General features: G+C 40.3%; 1 annotated feature.

Annotated features, from left to right (window-relative positions):
* Positions 641-1,227: an enhancer, noted in NCBI's record as "OCT4-NANOG hESC enhancer chr1:146807941-146808527 (GRCh37/hg19 assembly coordinates)". NCBI's record gives its function as "activates a minimal SCP1, AML or CMV promoter by ChIP-STARR-seq in naive and primed H9 embryonic stem cells {active_cell/tissue: H9 hESC(naive and primed)}" and the evidence as "EXISTENCE:reporter gene assay evidence [ECO:0000049][PMID:30033119]".

The raw sequence follows: 24,838 nt of genomic DNA on the forward strand, positions 1-24,838 counted from the left end.
AAACCCTTGGAGGAAACTAATAAGAGTTTTTTTTTAATTCTAACTTAATGGGAAGAAAGAAATTAAGTCATGCAAGCTTAAGGGATATGAAGTGTGAATCAGTGACTGTTGCCTTCTGGGGTAGAGGAGGAATGAGGCTCTATTCCAGATAGTCCTTAATGAAAACACCTAAAATCCATAACCTAGCAAAGATCCTCTGGCAAGTCTGGACTGAGGCTGGCAAGAGTTACAAATGAATTAGCTGGACAGTTTCCCTCTCTTCCCACTTTCCCATTCCCATTTAGTGTTCTTTACAGTGTTTTGTTTTTAAAGGCCTGATTATAACAAATGCTGTCTTCATCACTTGGTTTCCAAAACCCCTGTACTCAAGATTACAGAGTGTCCTCAGAAGCTTCATGGTTGCTCACCCGTGAAGAGTGGAGGACTGGAATCCAAACTCTTATGGTGCTTTTGTAATTTCTGTAAATATATATTTTTCTTGTAATTAAAAAATGTATTTTTTTAATTTCCCAAAAAGAATATAATTTATCATTTAGGAATAGAGGAGGAAGACAAATTACAGCTGAAACATTTTCTCTTTTATGAAGCTTTAACCAACTCTTCCTCTTCCAAGTCCCTAGGACAAAATAAATTGCCCTTTTTCCTGTGTTTCCCCTTTTTCCTGTGTTCTTTATTCTTGTGTGGATTTTAGAGTGACCACATTTTATTATAGTTATTTGTTGTATAATCCCACATTTTTATCCTTAAATTTTGGTCAAGAGAGGTCTTCTTTTTCAGCTGCTGTGTAATTAAGTTTAAGGGTGACGAAGGAAAGAGAAAATTCAAACAGCCAAGAACTGTGAAGGATGAGCCTTTTAAAGGAGAGCTTACTGCCTTATGGTGAACTGATTCAAATGCTTTGGTAACGTGGACATGCTGTTAAGGGCTGAGTGGTTTCTTTATCAAACAGCATTCTGCAAATTCATGGAGTTCCCACATAGACTTGCAAATGCTTGTACTTTGTGATAGAAATGTCTCTGGAAGAGCTGACTTTGGTCTAATTGTAAACTTTTCCATTTCTCTTAGTGTGTATGTATCCCCCATTAGGACAGATTGTATATTGTATTCATTCTTTTCCATATCCTAGCACAATGTCTGACACAAAGAGAACAGCAACAAATGTTTGCTAAATAGACTTACAGTATCACACGCTACCCCCATAACTCCAAAAATCAATTTTGAAATTAAAGGAGAAATAATGTTAGATATTCATGTTCTTCCTTTAAAGTCTGCACGTCCAACATATATTGGAAACAATGAAACAAGACATAATGATGTCTTTTGATATCAGAATCTCAAACTCCAGCTGATCCCCACCTCTTTTTGTTTTCATAGAACCTATGACTTCTCTCAAGAAGCTAGCAGGACAAGAAATTGCTGTTTCTAGACCCACCCTTTGCTTCTCCTTTGAGCTTATGGATCTGTTATTTTCTGGTTATTTAAATTTAAAGCTGCCTTTGAGATTTCAGCCCTCAGTATCAAGAGCTCCCAAAATTTTCCTGCAGAAATTCCTCAATTCAGCTATCTCTGCCAGTTGGGGTTTCTGAGGAAATGAACCAAAGCCGGCAGTGGTTGCTATGGTGACTGAGTCTCCCTGGAGTGAAGTCAGGGGAGCATCCATTTGAAGGAATGGGGGAGCTACATTCTAGAAGAATGACCATCTGCTAAGAATGAAGTGATCCCGGAGAAGGGGTGGGGTTAGGGGAATCTTAAGGAATATGGAAAAAATTAGAATAGATACTATGAGAGATGCATCAGCAACTCAACAAGAGATGAGTAAAGTGATTGCCTGAACAGCAGTGAGAGTCCAGCCTAGGAAAGATTGCATGTATCAGAGTGGACCCTGGGAGCACGGCTTTCTGGTTCTTCACAGAAATTCTCAGCAGCCTGGGAGTGGCAGCAGAGAAGAGGACAGAAGAAGTGACCATCGAATTGGCAAAGAAGAAACATGAAATATGTGTAGATCATGCACACTTGTGAGACATAAATACACTTCAGATTATGAAGAACTACATTCACAGAAGTTTTTGTTTAAAACAGTTTGCCACAGAATGAACAGAAGTTTGTTTGTGTGAAACTGAAGTGTGATGGAAAGCAAAACCTCTTATTATTTGTGCAATAATCCCCAAATCACAGTTACTATGAGGGTACATTTTATGATTTATTAGTAGAGACATAGTACTTGTTACATAGTCTAGCTCAGCAAATTCTTGTCTTGATATTTTAAAAATTATTTTCTGTCATGCAGGCTAGAGTGCAGTGACATAATCAGCTCACTGCAGGCTTGAACTCTTGGGCTCGAGAGATTCTCCCACCTCAGCCTCCCAGGTAACTGGGACTACAGGTGTGTGCCACCACACCTGGATAATTTTTTTTATAGAGTCAGGGTCTTACTATGCTGCCCAGACTGATCTTGAACTCTTGGGCTCAAGAGATCCTCCAGCCTCAGACTCCCAAAATGCTGGAATTAGTTTTAAACCACTGTGCCTGGCCATTTATTTATTTATTTATTTATTTATTTATTTAGACAGTCTCCCTCTGTCACCCAGGCTGGAGTGCAGTGGCGCAATCTCGGCTCACTGCAACCTCTGCCTCCCGGGTTCAAGTGATTCTCCTGCCTCAGCCTCCCGAGTAGCTGTGATAACAGGTGTGTGTCACCACGCCAGGCTAATTTTTTGTATTTTTAGCAGAGATGGGGTTTCACCATGTTAGCCTGGATGGTCTCAATCCCCTGACCTCGTGATCTGCCTGCCTCAGCCTCCCAAAGGTATTTATTTTTTAACCTGTTGATCCACTAGTTGGTAAGTCATTTGAAGGCAAGAATTACGCCTTATTCATTTTTTTTGTCCTTCGAAGCACTGATATAGGATTTCTTGCATAGTAGTTTCCTAATACCTGTTTGTTGCCCCAGAATAACGAATTCTCAAAGTTGGAAAGGAACTCGAAAGATCATAAGACACCATCCCATATCCAGGAATGAATTTCCTCCCAAACCTCCAGGGTAAATGGTGTTCCACCTCTCCATGGTGCCTCCAGTGATAGGGAGCCTGCTGCCTCCCACAGCAGCCCACCCCACAGTTGGACAGCTGGTATTGCTGGAAAGTGTTCCTTTGTACCGTGTTGAGATTTCAGCCAGCCTAGTGTGATAGCTCAAGCCTCTAATCCCAACTACTCAGGAAGTTGAGGTGGGAGGTTGGCTTGAGGCCCGGAGTTTCAGATCAACTGGAGCAACACAGCAACACTATGTCTCAAAAAAAAAAAAAAAAAAGAAAAAAAAAGAAAAAGAAAAAGAAAAAAGAAAAAGAAGAAAGAAAAAGAGAAAGAAAGAAAATTGCTTTCCTGTGATGTCTACTCATAGTGCCTTTTGCTGCTCTCAGAGCCACACATAGTTCCTTCATGAGTCCATCTCACAGCCCTTCAAGTATTTGAAGCAGCTTTCATGTTATTTGGGATCTAATATTGTCTATTCCTTTAAGTGTTCTTCAAATAAATGTTTTTCAAGATCCTCCATCTCTTCTCTTGGGGTCTGGTTAGCCAAAATTTCTCATAACATGCAGAGCCTGGAAAGAACCCCACACAACAGTGAGGCAAAACCAACACAGAGTAGAGCTGGACAAGGCTTCTGTTCATATACTTACGGACACTTAACTTTTCTGGCAGTGGTTCCTCTGACACCAATGTAACTAATAGTCAACTGAAGCACCCATGTTGTCTCCTGTAAACCACTGTGCAGTCCAATCTTACTCATTCCAGACTTGTGCAGCTGGGTTTAGAAACCAGGTAAATGGCATTATATTTATCCTTCTTAATTGATTGTCCTCATTTATCAGGGCTATTGAGATGCTTTTAAAAGCCTGGTTCCATGAGGAATAATGTTCCTTCCCTCTGGTGTTATTGTGAGGATTACGTGAAACAATGCATGCGAAGCACCTAAAATACCATGCACATAGTAGGTACTCAATAAATAGTAGTTCATGTGATTATGGCCAACCAAATTTGAATTAAATAATGAATTCTAAGTTCTCTGACACCTCTAGTATTCTGGGATAACAGAAACAAATATTATTTTTCACAGTAAACAAGTAATTTGGGACACCTGATTCTGTTTTATTACTCAACCTAACATTTTTATTTGTTGCATGTTTTAAAAACTCTGCCTGTAACTAAAAAGGAGTAGAAATAAGTTAGGTCACAAAGCAAAACACTCCTTATCCTTACTCGACAAGCATGTTATCCAAGCGATCTAAACAGTAAGATCATCAGATGAATGACTGTCAAAAGGAAAAGATTTGCTGAGAAAATATAGTCAGAAGCATCCATCAAAAATGGATGAAGTGGCAATTTCTACACTGGGAGTAAGACTGATAAATATAAACAAAACATGATGCCAAAAAGATATGTTTTTGTATTTAGTGCAAATTTGAGTTAACAAATGAAATAATTTGATATATGTAGGGATATCAAATGAGTTATACGTAGCTATAAGGAGTGACTTTTAGCTGGTTGCATTATTTGGGCCCTGAAGTTATCAAGCCTGTAATGTCAAATTTCCCAAAGTGTAGTTCAAAGACTTTATGCATCAGAATCACCTGGGGTGCTTGTTTAAGATGATTACTAGGTATTGTCCCAAACCACTAAATTATAATTACTAAAGATTGGACCCAGGAATCTGAACATTAACAAGCTTTCCAATTGATTCTGATGTCCACAAAAGGTTAAGAACCTCTGCAGTATAGGGTAACCTGGAGAGCAAAGGGTAGTTACTGCTTGGAGGAAAGAGAGGGAATTTCACCACCCCTACTGCAGGGACACGAATCTACTACATGCCTTGTCACTCCCTTAGAAGCTATTAACTTGAAAGCTAAGTCTCTCCCTTGATCTGCCTTACCCATTCTGGATCATAGTACAGATCATATAGAAAAACTGAGGCCTCCACAGCCATGAAACCTCTGAAAAGACTCAGCAAGATAACCTACCCAGGAGTAAGCTAATTCCTGAGAGATCAGAGAAGGCCTCCACCATTGCCAGCTTCCTATATCCAAAAAGCACCTGAAGGATTAATGATCTTGAGTGCATTGGACTTAACTTCCTGAATCACAACTGGGGACAGCACTCCTGCTCCATAGCAGTTCACTGCTAGCTGTCATGTTTGTACCATGTGACTCCACCTTTGTGGCTGACTGGAAGGGGAATGGATTCCTACCCAAGCTGTGACAATCAGATTTTCTCTCCTGAGGTTTTAGAATTGGATCTGAGAGTTAGCAAGTTGATTGCTCAGTTGGTTAGAAATAGAACATGTAAATTTGGGATCTCTGTTTACTCTGTGGACAAAAAAGCAGAAAAAATGAGTTGCATGTAGAGATAAGAAGGAAGCAAATGGGCAGAGAAGCAAAGACATGGGAACCGTTCCTGCTTCTAGCTTCTTCTGCAGATCCAGCTGCACTCTTGCCCTTGGGTTCTATGAGAGACCCTTGTATCCTTCTACCAAATCCTTCTTTACCATATTATACTGATTGAAGGAGCACTCTGTTACTTTCAGCTAGAAGGATCCTAATTAGCTAACTCCTTTTTGCCACGTCCATTTTTCCTTTCTCAGCACCCAGTGAAATCCTTTCCTGTTACCTACATTTCCACTCACATCTCTGTGTTCTGTGCCTTTGACTCAATTTCCCACTGTTGCCTTCCCACCCAAACTTTTCATGGAATCTGTCCTGTGACTGATAAACTCCTCTCCATCAGTAACTCATTGTTCTTTCTCCTCTGGCTTTAATTGAAGTCCAGTTCTTCTCAGAGGATAGCAGTACCCTGTGGCCCTCTCAAGAGGAGACTGTTCTTTTCATATGCTTGCTAATAGAGCAATCATTGTTCAGGACAGCAATGAGATTTCTAAAACTGGTTAGGCCAATCATGACTTATTCTGTAGGCTGGGTAGAGGCTCTCTTCCCTGAGGTTAAGAAATATCCACTGCATGTTTATCTGGGAAGAAGTAGGAGATTGGCTACTGGGTTGACCATGGTTTATGTCTGACATGTCTCCTGCTACCGCCTTCCCCCCATCACATACACCCATGAGAGTGTGCACACACACACGCACACACAGGCACACACGGGCACACATACTCCGTTCTCCAGCCACAGTGGAGATTCTTTCACCTTTGGACTTGTCCATATGCTGTTCCTATTGACTGATAACCTTTTCACCTTCTTCTTCACCAGACCAATACCTGTACACTTTTTAGGTCTCCCTAAAATGTCTCTTGCCCTGGGAAGTTTTCCCTGACAACCCCTCCTGAGTCAAGCACCCTTGCTGTGTTCTTTCATTACAGTGCATGTCCCTTATCTTCATGTTTATCTATCTTACAATAGTACTGTTTAAGTATCAGTCTTTTCTACAGCATCTTTCTCAGCACACATGGTAGAAAGAGGACATGCTGCCTTCCTTATCTTTGCATTCCCAGTAGCTGTAACAGTACCAGGTCAACAATGGCAGGAATTTTATAAGCATTTGTTGGGTAAATGAACAGTCTCCTTCTGAGCTGGGCTTAGATTTTATTAACCACCAGGTTTTCATAATTTGAGGACACATTCAAAATCCTGAGAGGTAAAGAGACCTCAGACAGATAACAAAATAGAGATGAGAAATTTTGCAGCTACAGAAATATAATGCATCATTTGACAACAAGCTGATTGTAGAATTTAGGCAATTTCCTGGGTGAGAGTCTGCCTTCTGACCTGAGGCACTGACAGACCCAGCCAATGTCCAGGCAGTGTGACAGAAGCTAGCATGGTTGTGCTTCTCTGGGCCATCCAGACTGATGAACCTCCCTCCTTGCTTTTCTCTACTTTTCCTCCTGTGTGGATCTTCATGTCTAGGGGCTGGGGAATGCAGACAGCATGTCTCTCTGGTTTTTTTAGTTTTGTTTTCTAGTCTTAATACCCTTCCTCTTTCCTTCCTCATTTCTCACTACTTACGCCAAGACAAACACTAGTGACTTTTCTTTCTTTTGTGTATGCTAGACAAGAAATGAAGTGTAGTTAAAACAGGAAGCTTTAGGTTAGATACTACCTTAGAATACTATGAAAAATGGAAGAAAAAGGGAGAAATAAGAGGTAATAAAGATAATAACAAGCAAATACCTAAAATTGTCTAGAGAGTGTTGGGAATCAAAGTTGGCCCTTTTCAGAGAGAAAACAGTCAATTGCTTTCTTAAATTTTCCTTTATACTAATATTTAATAATTATCTCTCTCATGATTCAAGCAGCCAGGTAACCTGAAAGAGAAAGATTGCCATGATATCTCTTACATTATTCTTCATTTTTAAAACAAAAGCAAAATCCTTATTTAAATAGCCAACATTAAACACAGCCATTTAAAATGATACAACAGGGGCATGGTTCCAAGATGGCTGAATAGGAACAGCTCCAGTCTACAGCTCCTAGCGTGAGCAATGCAGAAGACAGGTGATTTCTGCATTTCCAACTGAGGTACCGGGTTCATCTCACTGGGGCTTGTTGGACAGTGGGTGCAGGACAGTGGGTGCAGCTGACCGAGTGTGAGCTGAAGCATGGAGAGGCATCACCTCACCCAGGAAGCACAAGGGGTCAGGGAATTCCCTTTCCTAGCCAAGGGAAGCTGTGACAGACGGCATCTGAAAAATCGGGTCACTCCCACCCTAATACTGCGCTTTTCCAATGGTCTTAGCAAACGGCACACCAGGAAATTATAACCACGCCTCGCGTGGAGGGTACCACGCCCACGGAGCCTCGCTCATTGCTAGCACAGCAGCCTGAGATCGAGCTGTAAGGTGGCAGCGAAGCTGAGGGAGGGGCGCCTGCCATTGCTGAGGCTTGAGTAGGTAAACAAAGTGGCTGGGAAGCTCGAACAGCGTGGAGCTCACCACAGCTCAAGGAGGCCTGCCTGCCTCTGTAGACTCCACCACTGGGGGCAGGGCATAGCTGAACAAAAGGCAGCAGAAACCTCTGCAGACTTATATGTCCCTATCTGACAGCTTTGAAGAGAGTAGTGGTTCTCCCAGCATGGAGTTTGAGATCTGAGAATGGACAGACTGCCTCCTCAAGTGGGTCCCTAACCCCCAAAGTAGCCTAACTGGGAGGCAACCCCCCAGTAGGGGCAGACTGACACCTCACACAGCTGGGTACCCCTCTGAGACGAAGCTTCCAGAAGAATGATCAGGCAGCAACATTTGCTGTTCAGCATTATTCGCAGTTCTGCAGCCTCCACTGCTGATACCCAGGCAAACAGGGTCTGGAGTGGACCTCCAGCAAACTCCAACAGACCTGCAGCTGAGGGTCCTGACTCTTAGAAGGAAAACTAACAAACAGAAAGGACATCCACATGAAACTCCCATCTGTACATCACCATCATCAAAGACCAAAGATAGATAAAACCACAAAGATGGGGAAAAAACAGAGCAGAAAAGCTGAAAATTCTAAAAATCAGAGCGCCTCTCCTCCAAAGGAACGCAGCTCCTTGCCATCAATGGAACAAAGCTGGATGGAGAATGACTTTGAGAAGTTGTGAGAAGAAGGCTTCCGATGATCAAACTTCTCTGAGCTAAAGAAGGAAGTTCGAACCCATTGCAAAGAAGCTAAAAACATTGAAAAAAGATTAGACGAATGGCTAACTAGCATAATCAGTGTAGAGAAGTCCTTAAAGGACCTGATGGAGCTGAAAACCATGGCAAGAGAACTACGTGACAAATGCACAAGCTTCAGTAGCCAAATTGATCAACTAGAAGAAAGGGTATCAGTGACTGAAGATCAAATGAATGAAATGAAGCAAGAAGAGAAGTTTAGAGAAAAAAGAGTAAAAAGAAATGAACAAAGCCTCCAAGAAATATGGGACTATGTGAAAAGACCAAATCCACGTCTGATCAGTGTACCTGAAAGTGACAGGGAGAATGGAACCAAGTTGGAAAACACTCTGCAAGATATTATCCAGGAGAATTTCCCCAATCTAGCAAGCCAGGCCAACATTCAAATTCACGAAATACAGAGAACACCACAAAGACACTCCTCGAGAAGAGCAACTCCAAGACACATAATTGTCACATTCACCAAAGTGGAAATGAAGGAACAAATGTTAAGGGCAGCCAGAGAGAAAGGTCGGGTTACCCACAAAGCGAAGCCCAAAAGACTAACAGCAGATCTCTCGGCAGAAACTATACAAGTCTGAAGGGAGTGGGGGCCAATATTCAACATTCTTCAAGAAAAGAATTTTCAACCCAGAATTTCATATCCAGCCAAACTAAGCTTCATAAGTGAAGGAGAAATAAAATCCTTTACAGACAAGCAAATGCTGACAGATTTTGTCACCACCAGGCCTGCCCTAGAAGAGCTCCTGAAGGAAGCACTAAACATGGAAAGGAACAACCGGTACCAGCCACTACAAAAACATGCCAAATTGTAAAGACCACCTATGCTAGGAAGAAACTGCATCAACTAACGAGCAAAATAACCAGCTAACATCATAATGACAGGATCAAATTCACACGTAACAATATTAACCTTAAATGTAAATGGGCTAAATGCAAATTGGAGAAAGAGTCAAGACCCATCAGTGTGCTGTATTCAGGAAACCCATCTCATGTGCAGAGGCACACATAGGCTCAAAATAAAGGGATGGAGGAAGATCTACCAAGCAAACGGAAAACAAAAAAAAGCAGGAGTTGCAATCCTAGTCTCTGATAAAACAGACTTCAAACCAACAAAGATCAAAAGAGACAAAGGCCATTACAAAATGGTAAAGGGATCAATTCAACAAGAAGAGCCAACTATCCTAAATATATATGCACCCAATACAGGAGCACCCAGATTCATAAAGCAAGTCTTTAGAGACCTACAAGGAGACTTAGCCTCCCACACAATAGTAATGGGAGACATTAACAACACCCCACTGTCAACATTAGACACATCAATGAGACAGAAAGTTAACAAGGATATCCAGGAATTCAACTCAGCTCTGCACCAAGTGGACCTAATAGACATCTACAGAACTCTCCACCCCAAATGAACAGAATATACATTCTTCTCAGCACCACATTGCACTTATTCCAAAATTGACCACATAGTTGGAAGCAAAGCACTACTCAGCAAATGTAAAAGAACAGAAATTATAAGAAACCATCTCTCAGACCACAGTGCAATCAAACTAGAACTCAGGATTAAGAAACTCACTCAAAACTGCTCAACTACATGGAAACTGAACAACCTGCTCCTGAATGACTACTAAGTGCATAACAAAATGAAGGCAGAAATAAAGATGTTCTTTGAAACCAATGAGAACAAAGACAACATATCAGATTCTCTGGGACACATTTAAAGCAGTGTGTAGAGGGAAATTTATAGCACTAAATGCCCACAAGAGAAAGCAGGAAAGATCTAAAATTGACTCCCTAACATCACAATTAAAAGAACTAGAGAAGCAAGAGCAAACACATTCAAAAGCTAACAGAAGACAAGAAATAACTAAGACCAGAGTAGAACTGAAGGACATAGAGACACAAAAAAACCCTTCAAAAAAAATCAGTGAATCCAGGAGTTGGTTTTTTGAAAAGATCAACAAAACTGATAGACCGCTAGCAAGACTAATAAAGACGAAAAGAGAGAAGAATCAAATAGACGCAATAAAAAATGATACGGGGGATATCACTACTGATCCCGCAGAAATACAAACTACCATCAGAGAATACTATAAACACCTCTACACAAACTAACTAGAAAATCTCGAAGAAATGGATAAATTCCTTGACACATACACCCTCCCAAGACTAAACCAGGAAGAAGTTGAATCCCTGAATAAACTAATAACAGGCTCTGAAATTGAGGCAATAATTAATAGCTTACCAACCAAGAAAAGTTCAGGATGAGAGGATTCACAGCCAAATTCTACCAGAGGTACAAGGAGGAGCTGGGACCATTCCTTCTGAAACTATTCCAATCAATAGAAACAGAAGGAATCCTCCCTAACTCATTTTATGAGGCCAGGATCATCCTGATACCCAAAGCCTGGCAGAGACACAAGAAAAAAAGAGAATTCTAGACCAATAGCCCTCATGAACATCGACACAAAAATCCTCAATAAAATACTGGCAAACTGAATCCAGCAGCACATCAAAAAGCTTATCCACCATGATCAAGTGGGCTTTATCCCTGGGATGCAAGGCTGGTTCAACATATGCAAATCAATTAATGTAATCCAGCATACAAACAGAACCAAAGACAAAAACCACATGATTATCTCAATAGATGCAGAAAAGGCCTTTGACACATCAACAGCCCTTCATGCTAAAAACTCTCAATAAATTAAGTACTGATGGGACATATCTCAAAATAATAAGAGCTATTTATGACAAAACCACAGCCAATATCACACTGAATGGGCAAAAACTGGAAGCATTCCCTTTGAAAACTGGCACAAGACAGGGATGCCCTCTCTCACCACTCCTATTCAACATATTGTTGGAAGTTCTGGCCAGGGCAATGAGGCAGGAGAAGGAAATAAAGGGTATTCAATTAGGAAAAGAGGAAGTCAAATTGTCCCTGTTTGCACATGACATGATTGTATATCTAGAAAACCCCATCATCTCAGCCCAAAATCTCCTTAAGCTGATAAGCAACTTCAGCAAAATCTCAGTATACAAAATCAATGCGCAAAAATCATAAGCATTCTTATACACCAATAACACACAAACAGCCAAATCATGAGTGAACTCCCATTCACAATTGCTTCAAAGAGAATAAAATACCTAGGAATCCAACTTACAAGGGATGTGAAGGATGTGAAGGACCTCTTCAAGGAGAACTACAAACCACTGCTCAATGAAATAAAAGAGGACACAAACAAATGGAAGAACATTCCATGCTCATGGGTAGGAAGAATCAATATTGTGAAAATGGCCATACTGCCCAAGGTAATTTATAGATTCAATGCCATCCCCATCAAGCTACCAATGACTTTCTTCACAGAATTGGAAAAAACTACTTTAAAGTTCATATGGAACCAAAAAAGAGCCCACGTCACCAAGTCAATCCTAAGCCAAAAGAACAAAGCTGGAGGCATCACACTACCTGACTTCAAACTATACTACAAGGCTACAGTAACCAAAACAGCATGGTACTAGTACCAAAACAGAGATATAGACCAATGGAACAGAACAGAGCCCTCAGAAACAATATCACACATCTACAACCATCTGATCTTTGACAAACCTGACAAAAACAAGAAATGGGGAAAGTATTCCCTATTTAACAAATGGTGCCGGGAAAACTGGCTAGCCATATATAGAAAGCTGAAACTGGATCCCTTCCTTACACGTTATACAAAAATTAATTCAAGATGGATTAAAGACTTACATGTTAGACCTAAAACCATAAAAACCCTAGGAGAAAACCTAGGCAATACCATTCAGGACATAGGCATGGGCAAGGACTTCATGTCTAAAACACCAAAAGCAATGGCAACAAAAGACAAAATTGACAAATGGGATCTAGATAAACTAAAGAGCTTCTGCACAGCAAAAGAAACTACCATCAGAGTGAACAGGCAACCAATAGAATGGGAGAAAATTTTTGCAATCTACTCATCTGACAAAGGGCTAATATCCAGAATCTACAATGAACTCAAGCAAATTTACAAGAAAAAAATGAACAACCCCATCAAAAAGTGGGCTAGGGATATGAACAGACATTTCTCAAAAGAAGACATTTATGTAGCCAAAAGACACATGAAAAAATGCTCATCATCGCTGGCCATTAGAGAAAATGCAAATCAAAACCACAATGAGATACCATCTCACACCAGTTAGAATGGCGATCATTAAAAAGTCAGGAAACAACAGGTGCTGGAGAGGATGTGAAGAAATAGGAACACTTTTACACTGTTGGTGGGACTGCAAACTGGTTCACCCATTGTGGAAGACAGTGTGGCGATTCCTCAAGCATCTGGAACTAGAAATATCATTTGACCCAGCCATCCCATTACTGGGTATATACCCAAAGGATTATAAAACATGCTGCTATAAAGACACAGGGACACGTATGTTTATTGCGGCACTATTCACAGTATCAAAGACTTGGAACCAACCCAAACGTCCAACAGTGATAGACTGGATTAAGAAAATGTGGCATATATACACCATGGAATACTATGCAGCCATAAAAAAGGATGAGTTCACGTCGTTTGTAGGGACATGGATGAAGCTGGAAACCATCATTCTCAGCAAACTATCGCAAGGACAAAAAACCAAACACAGCATGTTCTCACTCATAGGTGGGAACTGAACAATGAGAACACATGGACACAGGAAGGGGAACATCACACACCAGGGCCCGTCGTGGGGTGAGGGGTGGGGGGAGGGATAGCATTAGGAGATATACCTAACGTAAATGACAAGTTAATGGGTGCAACACACCAACACAGCACATGTATACATATGTAACAAACCTGCACGTTGTGCACAGGTACCCTAGAACTTAAAGTATAATAAAAAAAATCACCAAAAACAATAAATAAAATGATATAACAAATGTATGAAAAATACAAGATTCAAAGAAGTCACTTAGGTAAAATCAGCAATCTTTCTCACATTGTTATTTATGAATGTTCAATCCAGCCCTGATTTATATCCTTAGGTTTTTGCAAAGGTTCCTTTCTAACTCATCTTGAGTTCTTATATTGTTAACACTCCCTAAACATCTTATTGAGACAAATCAGGGATTTCAGGCTATCTTAATATGAAAAGCTTTACCCATCTGCCACAACTTCCCTCGGTCATAGCCACAAGTATTCTTTACCCTGCTTAACTGTTAGGACTAAATCTAGAACCTGCATCACCTTCCCCTTGGCTCAACTGCTGCTGCTGCGGCTTTTACTTATTTTCTTACAAACAACATAAAGAGAAAATGATCAATTTTTCATGTTAGCTGTCTGTGACAGTAGCATGAACCTCTGTGTCTTTTTCACAATAAGGGGGTCATATTTTATCCTCCTCAGAAAAAGAATAGTAGCTACTCCTCTTCTAAAACAGCTTTTCCTCACTGGGAAACCCTTAAGTTTGCATAAAACAAACAATTTTATGCAAAGCTTAAAGTTATGCTTTATGCATAGTGGTTGCTCTATAAGGCTGTTGATGAAACAAAGTCCTTCCAGTTAAAGAAACCATGTGCCTGTCATATAAGACAAGCATCAAACACACACACACACACACACACACACACGTGCAAATTGAAAATTTAGCAATGCTTTATAAGGATACTCAGTAACTCCATTTTACCACAATCCTCCCTGAAAAAAGTCAGATGAACACTCATGTGCCATGATGACATAACCTCATTTCTTTTGGAGTCTAATGTTATTTTTCTCCCTAAACCCCAAACTGCAGAAATACCAAAGGCTGCCAGCAAAAGAAGTAGTTGAGCTGCTGAATCAATGAATCCTGGATGCACCCTTGGAAAACTGTGATTAGCTTTCTCTGCAATCAGGATCATTCAGGGGAGCAGAGTAACCACATGGAAAGTTGCCTTCTTCCAACTCTCCTACACTGAACATTTTATTCTTGGTGTCTCTACCTCCTGTGTGTATCACAGGATGAGGCAGTGGAATAGTTAGTTGATCCCCAGGTTTTCCTGTCACCTGTACCTGCCTTGTGGGTTGTTAAGCTGAGCCAAATTATTCCAGAGGAGGTGAATTCCAGAATTTTTTTCAACAATTCAATAGAGTTTCAAAATTTCAGAATACAGTCCCAAATTATAGGTAGAGTCATTCTTTTTCTAGTGACTTATATTCACATTTGATATTCTAAACTAGTAACTAAATCTCTCCCCTCTTACATGTATATAGAGGGAATATTTAGGCAAGGAGAGAGGGATATCAACAACAGCTTAATATGTACTGACTACTCCATGTCCAAAGCTCCATTTATTGTCTCAATTAATCCCCAGACACTTCTGTAGATTAGATACTATAATTATCTCCATCGTACAGATAAGGAAGCTGAGGTTTAAAAAGTCAGTAATGTGCCCAAGGTCAAATAGTTATTAGAACTGGGATAACCTGGAATCTGACCCTTACTTCATTGCCACTCAGCTATTTCAAAGCTCCTGGCTGGTACAACCAAAGAGGATATGGCCAGAGGCAGGGTGGGAATCCTGGTTCTGTCCCATCATGTTTAGGCTCTGCGAATGGGGAGGAGACTTCTTGGCCACTGAGAGAAGCTTTTGTTCTTTTATCTACAGATCAAAAAGAAATAAGAATATAGAAAGGTTTCTCACCTACATACCCAAGGCCCATAGCTTTAGTGACATCTTGTAACTTCACTCACTCCTGGCGAGTTGTGGTAGTAAAAGTTTATTGTTAATTTTGTGAGGTTTTGTTTCTGTTTGTTTGTTCTGCAGAAATCTTATGCATGGCACTCTGTTCTTCATGACACACGATCTGCTCTTAAATCCCCTTCTTCGAATGAGCAGTTCAAAGGAGTGTAGTGACTATTTACATTCATAAACTATATCAGTGACAGAAGTGGCATGAAAATGACCCAATCCTAAATCCTTATGGAAATAGTCTTTTCTCTCACTTTGTGGGTCATGATAAGCTAGTACAATATGGAGGGCAAGGTAGAAAAGTGTGTTTCAACTCCATACACACTGCTGCAGAAAAGCACATGCCCTGCCAATGGTACTGATTCACTGCCAAGTCGCACTATTCTGAAAGGAATCAATTGAGTTATCCTGCATGCAATCTTTAACCAGTCCCTCTTCCTTTCATGCATACATATTCATCACTTTTATCAGAAAATAATCCATTCTGGAGAGGCAGCTGCTTTCTAAATAAATTGCTGTTCCTTAGCAGCTGAATCCAACAGGCTGTTTTTCTCACTTCGGTGAATTTGTTCTGACAACAGTGCACGCCAGTCATTTGCTCTTTTCCTTTCATGATTTGGTTTTATTATTAATCTATTCATTATGTTTATTGGCTCTGTCCATTATTTAAGAGCCTCAGTGCATATTTACAAGTACAATAAAAAGAGACAGCCTCAGCCATTGTAGCATACAGGCTAATAGGCAGTCAAGACATAAAATGATCCTTCTCTCTTCACCTCTGACTAAAGCTATGTGGGGCTGTTGGGTTGACAAACCAAATCAACATGCTAGTACAATATGACCCAGTCAAATAGCCAGATGATGTAATCAAGCAATTGGTTTGCTTTATTTTTCCTCCATTTAATCAAAATTTAAGGATTAATTGTTCTTTTTAAAAATTACTGACATATAACCCACATACCATAAAATTCACCCTTTTTAAGTGAGCAATTCAGTGGTTTTTAGAATATTCACAAAGTTATGTAGTCATCACTACTATATAATTTCCAGAACATTTTCATCACCCCTAAAAGAAATCCATATTATTAGCAGTCACTTGCCTTTTCCCTTCCTCCTAGCCCCTAACAACCATCAATCTACTTTCTATCTCTCTGGATTTGCTTATTCTGGACATTTTACATAAATAAAATCATATAATATGTGGCCTTTTATGTCTGTCTTCTTTCACCTAGCATAGTGTTTTCAAGGTCCATCCATGTTTTGGCATGTACCAGTACTTTAATCATTTTTATGCCTGAATAATGTCCCTTAGTGTAGATGTACTACATTTTATACATTCATCAGTTAATGGACATTTGGGTTGCTTCCACTTTTGGACTATTATGAATAATTCTGCTAGAAACACTTGTGCACAATTTTTTTGTGAACATGTTTCATTTCTCTTGAGTATCTTCATAGGAGTGGAATTTCTGGGTCATAACTCTATATTTAACATTTTGAGGAACTGCCAAATTGTTCCAAAGTGTCTGCACCATTTTACATTCCCAACAGCAATGTACAAAATGTACAAGAGTTGTAATTTCTCCACATCTTCACCAACACTTGTTATTATCTTGTTAGTTATAACCACCCTAGTAGATGTGATGTGATATCTCACTGACTGTATTCATAATTACTTTTTTCCTTATGGCTAATGATGTTGTACAGATTTACATATGCTTATTGTCCATCTATATATCTTCTTTAGAGAAATATTTATTCAGCTATTTTGTCCATTTTTAAATTGCGTTATTTGTTCTTTAATTGTGAATTTTAAGGTATGTATTCATTCTTATCACATATGTGATTGGAAAATATTTTCTCCATTCCTGTGGGTTGTCTTCTTGCTTCTTAATAGTGTTCTTTGTAACACAAAAGCTTTCAATTTTTAGGAAGTCTGATTTATGCATTTTTTTCTTGATTGTGCTTTGCTTTTGATGTTATATTTGAGAATCCATTGTATAATCCAAGGCCATGATGATTTACATCTATATTTTATTCTAAGAGTTGTATAGTTTTCTTATATCTAGGTCCATTTTAAATTAATTTTTGTATATTATATGAAATTTCATCCATTTTAAATTAATTTTTGTCTATTATATGAAATTGGATCCATTTTAAATTAATTTTTGTATATTCTGTGAAATAGGTGTCAAATTTTATTCTTTCGCATGTGGCTATTCAGTTGTTCCAGCAACATTTGTTGAAAAGACTATTCTTTCCTCCTTTGAATTATCTTAGTACCCTTGTTGAAAGTCAATTGATCGTAAACGTATGAACTTGTTTCTGGATTCTCAATTCTATTCCATGGATTGACTGATCGACTGGTTGATTGATTTTTGAACAAGATCTTGCTCTGTCACCCAGGCTGGAGTGCAGTGGTACAATCACAGCTCATTGCAGCCTCAAACTCCTGGGCTCAGGCGATCCTCCTGCCCCAGCCTAGGACTAGTAGCTAGGACTACAGGCACACACCCCCACGCACTGCTAACATTGATTTAAATAGCTTGCTTATCGTAGCTTTGTAATAAGTTTTGGAATCACAAAGTGTGAGCTTTCCAATTTGTTCTTCTTTTTCAGTATCATCTTGGGTCCTTCGCTTTTTCATGTAAATTTTAGGATCAGCTTGTCAATTTCTGCAAAAAAGGGAAGCAGCTGGTATTTTAATAAAGGTGTTAAATCTGTAGTTCAATTTGGATAATACTGCCATCTTAACAATATTAATTATTCCAATCCATAAACACAGAATGTCTTTCCATTTATTTATGTCTTTTTAAATTTATTTCAGTGACATTCAAGAACAATCCAATAATCATTCTTTATTGAAATAAACAGGTGGTTCAGAGACATAGAGAGACATAGAATGAATTAATCTCCCCCTCTCTCATTTTCCCTGTCTTTCATTGTTTCTCTTGCCCTCTCACTCTCATTTTCTCTCTTGGCTTCATTATAAAGCAGCAGAAAAACACATTTTAAAAATATTTGAAAGAAATCTTATTATTAACACCACATTTAAAAAAATAAGCATAATCCCAGCAGTAGTCCCAGCACTGGTTATTTCCACCAGAGACACAAACAACACATATTCTGTTTCTTGTATGGCAATTGCACTTCACTATAGAAATACAAACCATTTTAGATGTCAATATAGTCTAATGGCAACATTTTATGTTACAACTGGTGAGCACTAGGGCATAGCTAGCAGATGATCTGCAGCTTTTCTCTCAAATTCACCCAAATATGGAGTCTATTTACTCAATACCTTCTTTATTTATAGAATTCCATGAATGTAAACACACACACACACACACACACACACACACACACACGGCATATCCCTACTAAAACAGATGTTTACAAAAACAGAATCTGTTCCCTCAAGAAGGTAACAGGCTGGGTGAGGTGGCTTGTGCCTGTAATCCCAGCTGTTTGGAAGGCCAAGGCAGGAATGCTTGAGGCTAGGAGTTTGAGACCAGCCTGGGTAACATAGTGAGACTCATCTCTACAAAAAATACAAAAATTAGCCAGGTGTGATAGTGTGTGCCTATTGTCCCAGCTACTCAAGAGGCTGAGGTGGAGGACTGCTTGAGCCCAGGAGTTTGAGGTTGCAATGAACTATGATCATGCCACTGCACTCCAGCCTGAGTAACAGGGCAACAGAGTGAGACCCTGTCTCTAAAACAAACAACAAAAAAAGCAACAGTTTGTTTAGAAAGAGCCTGTGCACATATGAAACCATTTGGTAGTGGTGTAGCAGGGCCCACAGTAATAATATCAAATGGATGGCCAAGGAAGACCACAAATGAGAGGTAAGACAAAGGAATACTTGTGTGGTCCCTGCCTACCACACACTTTCCATCTCATGCAAAAATGTCCATCTGAGGGTCTCTAATTAAGAAAGACGTTTTAGGCATCGTGAAAATGCTCTCTTCCCACTTGGTCTTCTTAGGGATTGCGCTTTCCCTTCTGGGTCTTCACGATCATTGTTTCAATGATGCCCTTCCCAGCATGTTCCGCCACCATTTTCACCTATAGTCACTGTCAATATCCAGCCCTTCATTATCCCCACCACCCAACTTCTCAGCTCTTTATGGTGGTTTGTCGGGGCCTCTTGGAGTTACGAAATCCAACCTGATTCCTATTGATTCATATTAGCAATACCTCATTGATTCTAGTAAATGTCGCCATAAAAATTACTTCACATTTTTACCCTATGTCTTCACTCTTAATGAATAATATGTTCTCCCACTTCAGACAGAGATCATAAGCATGAATATTTCTACCTAAATATATTTCCTAAAAGCAGTTTCTCATCTTCCTGTTTCAGAGTAACCATTTTACCTTCTCAAAGCACTAACCCCTCAATTTGTAACTCTCCTACTTTATCAGGAAGCTAGCTGCAATAAATACATTCCTACTCTCTTGATATCTTCTCTCTCTCTCTTTCTTTCTCTCTCCCCCCATGAGGGCTCATTTCTTTTCATCTCCAAACAAAACAAAAGAAAAATAACAAACAACTTTCTTTCACACAGGTACCCATTTTGGTCATTGCCTCCTTTTCTTCCTCTTTTGTGTGCACATTTTTTTTTTAGTATGCAATTGGATTTCACTTTATCCTCTGTTTACCCATTTACTTCTCAATATCATGCAATCTGGCATCAACTCTTAACATTCAATTTCTCCTCATCCTTTTTGTCAAACCACATCCCATGCTCCTTCTCTGCCTTTCTTTCTGCTAGAGGTTAGCACAGGGTCCTGCGCTTTTAAGATTTACAGAGAAATTGTCTCTCTGGACTGCTTCTGCCCCACACAGAAGTATGACACTCTGAACCCCTTCTCATCTTCAGCTTTCCTGAAATTCTCAATGAATTCTATAATAGGCACTTTTCCAAAATGTTTCCTACTCTTTTCCTCTTTGTGTCCTTAGCTGATTCCCCTTTATCTCCACAGTGCATGGACTGTTCATTTATCGTTCTGCATGTCCAGCGCCCATTAAAAGGACTTCTTTCTTGACTTTTGTTTGATGATGTCTTTCTGATTATCACCAATACTATTGTGACAAGGGCATAGAAATTTATCTGAAACCTAGTAAAGCTTGAAAATTATGTCTATCTATTTTGGATTGCCTGTTTTTAAAGAGATTTATTGCAATATTTTCTTAAATTTGACTTATTTCAACTTACGAGGCTCCAATAGAGACCAAATTGAGATGCAAATAGAGAAGTTCCTTGTCATTTTTCGGAAATTAAAGTGTTACTATAGCTTCTTGAGTTTCATGAGTTGACTTCTCTTTGACCCTAAACCAAATTAAAGGTACATATTAAAAAGAATTTTAACATTCTCCTTAAGTTCTTACTCTCAAGGCTTATTTAGTAAAAGTGTACATCAGTGACATCAAGTTTCTTCAATTTCTTTGAATAAAGTCATTGCTGAACAAGGGGGGCTGTCCACATTTCTCATTTGTAATCTTGTTTTTTGTTTTTGGTAGAGATGGGGTTTTACCATGTTGCCCAGGCTGGTTTCAAACTTCTGGGCTCAAGTGGTCCTCTAACCTAGGCTTCCCAAAGTGCTGGGATGACAGGCATGAGCCACAGCACCTGGCCCTGTAATCTGTTAATTTACGCAGTATTAGTTGAGCATACCAGGAGTAGCTTCGGATGAGAAATGACTTTTGAACTGAATCTGTGAAAATGTTTACTAGGTGAAAAAAGTCTCAGATGTAGGGAGGAAAGGGCATGAGAAGACATTCAAGGAAGAAGGAACGAGCACTAACAAAGGCAGAGAACTATGAAAGGATATCATGTTTGAGTGATTGCAAAGATTTCAACGTGGCTGGAGTATAGGGTAGAATAGTGGAAAATTAGGCAGGAAGCAAGCATAGGCTGTGGTTAGACTGGAAAAGTGCTTGTGCATCAAACAGGGGAGGGAGTAGTGGTTGAGAGAGGGCCCAAGAAAGACTGGCAATTTTCTGTTTTTTAACCTGAGTCATGGTTATAGGAGTGTTTGTTTCATGGTATTTTGTGTACTTCTGTATTTTGTGTACTTCTGTGTATATGTGTTATAGACAAAACATTTTTAATAGGAAAAAATAGAAAACTCATTAATATTCTAACATATGGTAGCTAGACACACCTAGAAATAAAGCAACTAAAACAGTTCTTGGCACATAGAAAAAGCTATGAGAGTCAATATTATCTTTTAAAGACAATCTTTGTCCGACTCCTGGTTCCCAGCTTCCTTTCCTAAACAACTTTAACAGTGTCTTCCAGAAATCTTTTAGGCACTTAGAAACACCCCTCTACTCTCTCTACACTTTGAATTATCAGGGCTAAAGAGCTGGCTTGATCTTCTCTATCCATGCATACACTCTTGAATTCAGGGTCTGCAAGTGATTCAATGCTGTATCTCCCTCAGTTCTTATCCCAGGACTTTTTGCCCAGTAGGAGCTCAGCATATATTTGTAAAGGGAATAAGTAACCTCTTCCTGTTTCCACTCAAACTCAATATCAAAGTTAGCACTTGTATCATAGGCTAATCTAACAGAGGTGACACCTTAGTGCAAGAGAGCGTTACCAGTAGCTGAATGGACATATTGCTTCCCATTAAAGAATGGCTAGGGAGTGGGGCCTGGATGGCCAACTAGAGCAGCTGAGATAGGAGACTCCCGCTGAAAAGAACCAAAACAGCCTGCGAATCCTGCACTGGCAACCGAGGTACGCAGGTTCTGCCATCAGGACTGACTAGGTGGCTGGCATGACCCACGGACAGGAGGAAAGAGCAGGGTGGTGCATCAGCCTACCTGAGAGCTGCATGGGGCAGGGGAGCCCCTACCCCCAGCCAAGGGAGGCAGTAAGTGAGCATGTTACCTACCCAGCCTGGGAAACCGTGCTTTTTCCATGGAACTGTGCAACCCATGGATTGGAAGATCCCATTGGTGAACCCATGCCATCATGGAGCCTTGCAGATTCTCAACGGCCACTTGGCTGGAATCTGCCTAAGTCTACTGAGTTCCCTCAGGGGAGAGGCGGCCATCACCATTGCTGCTGCCTGCTGTCTAAGCTGTCTGAGCTCCATGGAGGAGTGGTGGCAGCCACCACCACAGTTGCCTAAGACAAAAGAGCTCCCTGAGGGAGGGGCGACCACCACCACTGCTGCTGCCTGATGTCTAAGCTATCTGAACTCCCTGGGGGAGATGTGGCAGCCAACATTGCAGCTGCTAGCTACCTAAGACACTAAGCTCCCCGGGGAGAAGGGTGGCAGCCATTACTATAGCTCCAGGCTGTGCTTTTTCCCCTGCTGGAGCCACGGTGGCTGGATGGCTTGGTCCCAAGAGGTATTCCCCACAGCACAGCACACTGGCTGTGGCAGACCGTGGCCAGACTGCCTATTTAGGCCAGGCCCTGACCCATCCCTCCTCACTGGGTGGGGTGTCCCTGCAGGACCTCCAACAACTCCAGACAGGGGCTCAGGGACAGAACTCTCATCTGCCTGGGCTGGAGTCCATAGGGGTAGGGGTGGCCATAGTCTCTGTGGACCAGCAGACTTAGTCTTTCCTTCTGCTACCTCTGAGGTATCTGGGCAGCCCAGACAAGTGGGTTTCCCCACAGTGCAGCACACTCCCTCCACTAAGAGATAGCCAAAGTGCTTTGTTAAATGGGTCCTGTTTCTGTGCCCCCCTACTGGGTGAGACCTCACAACAGGGGTCACCAGGAGCATTCATACTGGCATCAGGTTGATGTCCCTCGAGGTCAGAGATCCCAGAGGAAGGAGCAGGCACCCATCTTTGCTTTCTCCAGCCTCCTGGGGTGACATCTCCAGGCATGGGAGTGAACCAGATGAATAGGGCCTGAAGTGAACCCCAAGCAAACCGCAGCAGCCCTACAGAAGAGGGTCTTGACTGTTCAAAGAAAAACAAACAGAAAGCAACAACAATAGTATCAACAACAAAAAAAAGTACCCACAAAAACCCCATCTAAGGGTCAGCAACCTCGAATATCAAAACTAGACAAACTCATAAAAATGAGAAAGAATCAATGAAAAAATGCTGAAAATTCAAAAGGCCAGAGTGCCTCTTCTCTTCCAAATTATCACAACACCTCTCTAGCAAGGGCACAGAATTGGATGGAGGATGAAATGGATGAATGGAATTGACAGAAGTAGGCTTCAGAAGGTGGGTAATAACAAACTTCACTGAGGTAAAGGAGCATGTTCTAACCCAATGCAAAGAAGCTAAGAACCATAATAAAAAGTTACAGGAGCTGCTAACTAGAATAACCAGTTTAGAGAGGAATACAAATAACCTGATGAAGCTGAAACACACAGCACGAGAACTTTGTGAAGCACACACAAATATCAACAGCCAAATCGATCAAGTGGAAGAACAAATGTCAGAGATCACAGACTATCTTGCTGAAATAAGGCAGGCAGACAAAATTAGAGAATAAATGAAAAGGAACAAACAAAACCTCTAATAACTATGGGACTATGTAAAAAACCAAACCTACAATTGATTGGTGTACCTGAAAGACATGGGAAAAATGGAACCAAGTTGGAGAACATACTTCAGGATATCGTCCAAGAGAAATTCCCCAACAAAGCAAGACAGGCCAACATTCAAATTCAGAAAATACAGAGAACCCCACTAAGACACTACATGGGAAGATCAACCCCAAGACAAATAATCATCAGATTCTCCAAGGTTGAAATGAGGGAAAAAATGTTAAGGGCAGCCAGAGAGAAAGGCCAGGTCACCTACAAAGAGGAGTCCATCAGACTAACAGTGGATGTGTCAGCAGAAACCCTACAAGCCAGAAGATAGTGTGAAATAATATTCTGTATTCTTAAAGAAAAGAATTTCCAACCCAGAATTTCATATCCAGCTAAACTAAGCTTCATAAGTGAAGGAAAAATTAAATCCTTTTCAGACAAGCAAATGCTGAGGGAATTTGTCACCACTAGGACTGCCTTGCTAGAGCTCCTAATGGAAACACTAAATATGGAAATGAAAAACTGGTACCAGCCCATTCCTTCTGAAACGATTCCAATCAATAGAAAAAGAGGGAATCCTCCCTAATTCATTTTATGATGCCAGCATCATCCTGATACCAAAACCTGGCAGAGACACAATAAAAAAAGAGAATTTTAGACCAATATCCCTGATGAACATCGATGCAAAAATCCTCAATAAAATACTGGCAAACTGAATCCAGCACCACATCAAAAAGCTTATCCACCATGATCAAGTGGGCTTCATCCCTGGGATGCAAGTCTGGTTCAACATATGAAAATCAGTAAAAGTAACCCAGCATATAAACAGAACCAATGACAAAACCCACATGATTATCTCAATAGATGCAGAAAAGGCCTTAGACAAAATTCAACAACCCTTCATGCTAAAAACTCTCAATAAATTAGGTATTGAT

Source organism: Homo sapiens, chromosome 1 (genome assembly GCF_000001405.40).
Source record: "Homo sapiens chromosome 1, GRCh38.p14 Primary Assembly".
NCBI classification, from domain to species: domain Eukaryota; kingdom Metazoa; phylum Chordata; class Mammalia; order Primates; family Hominidae; genus Homo; species Homo sapiens.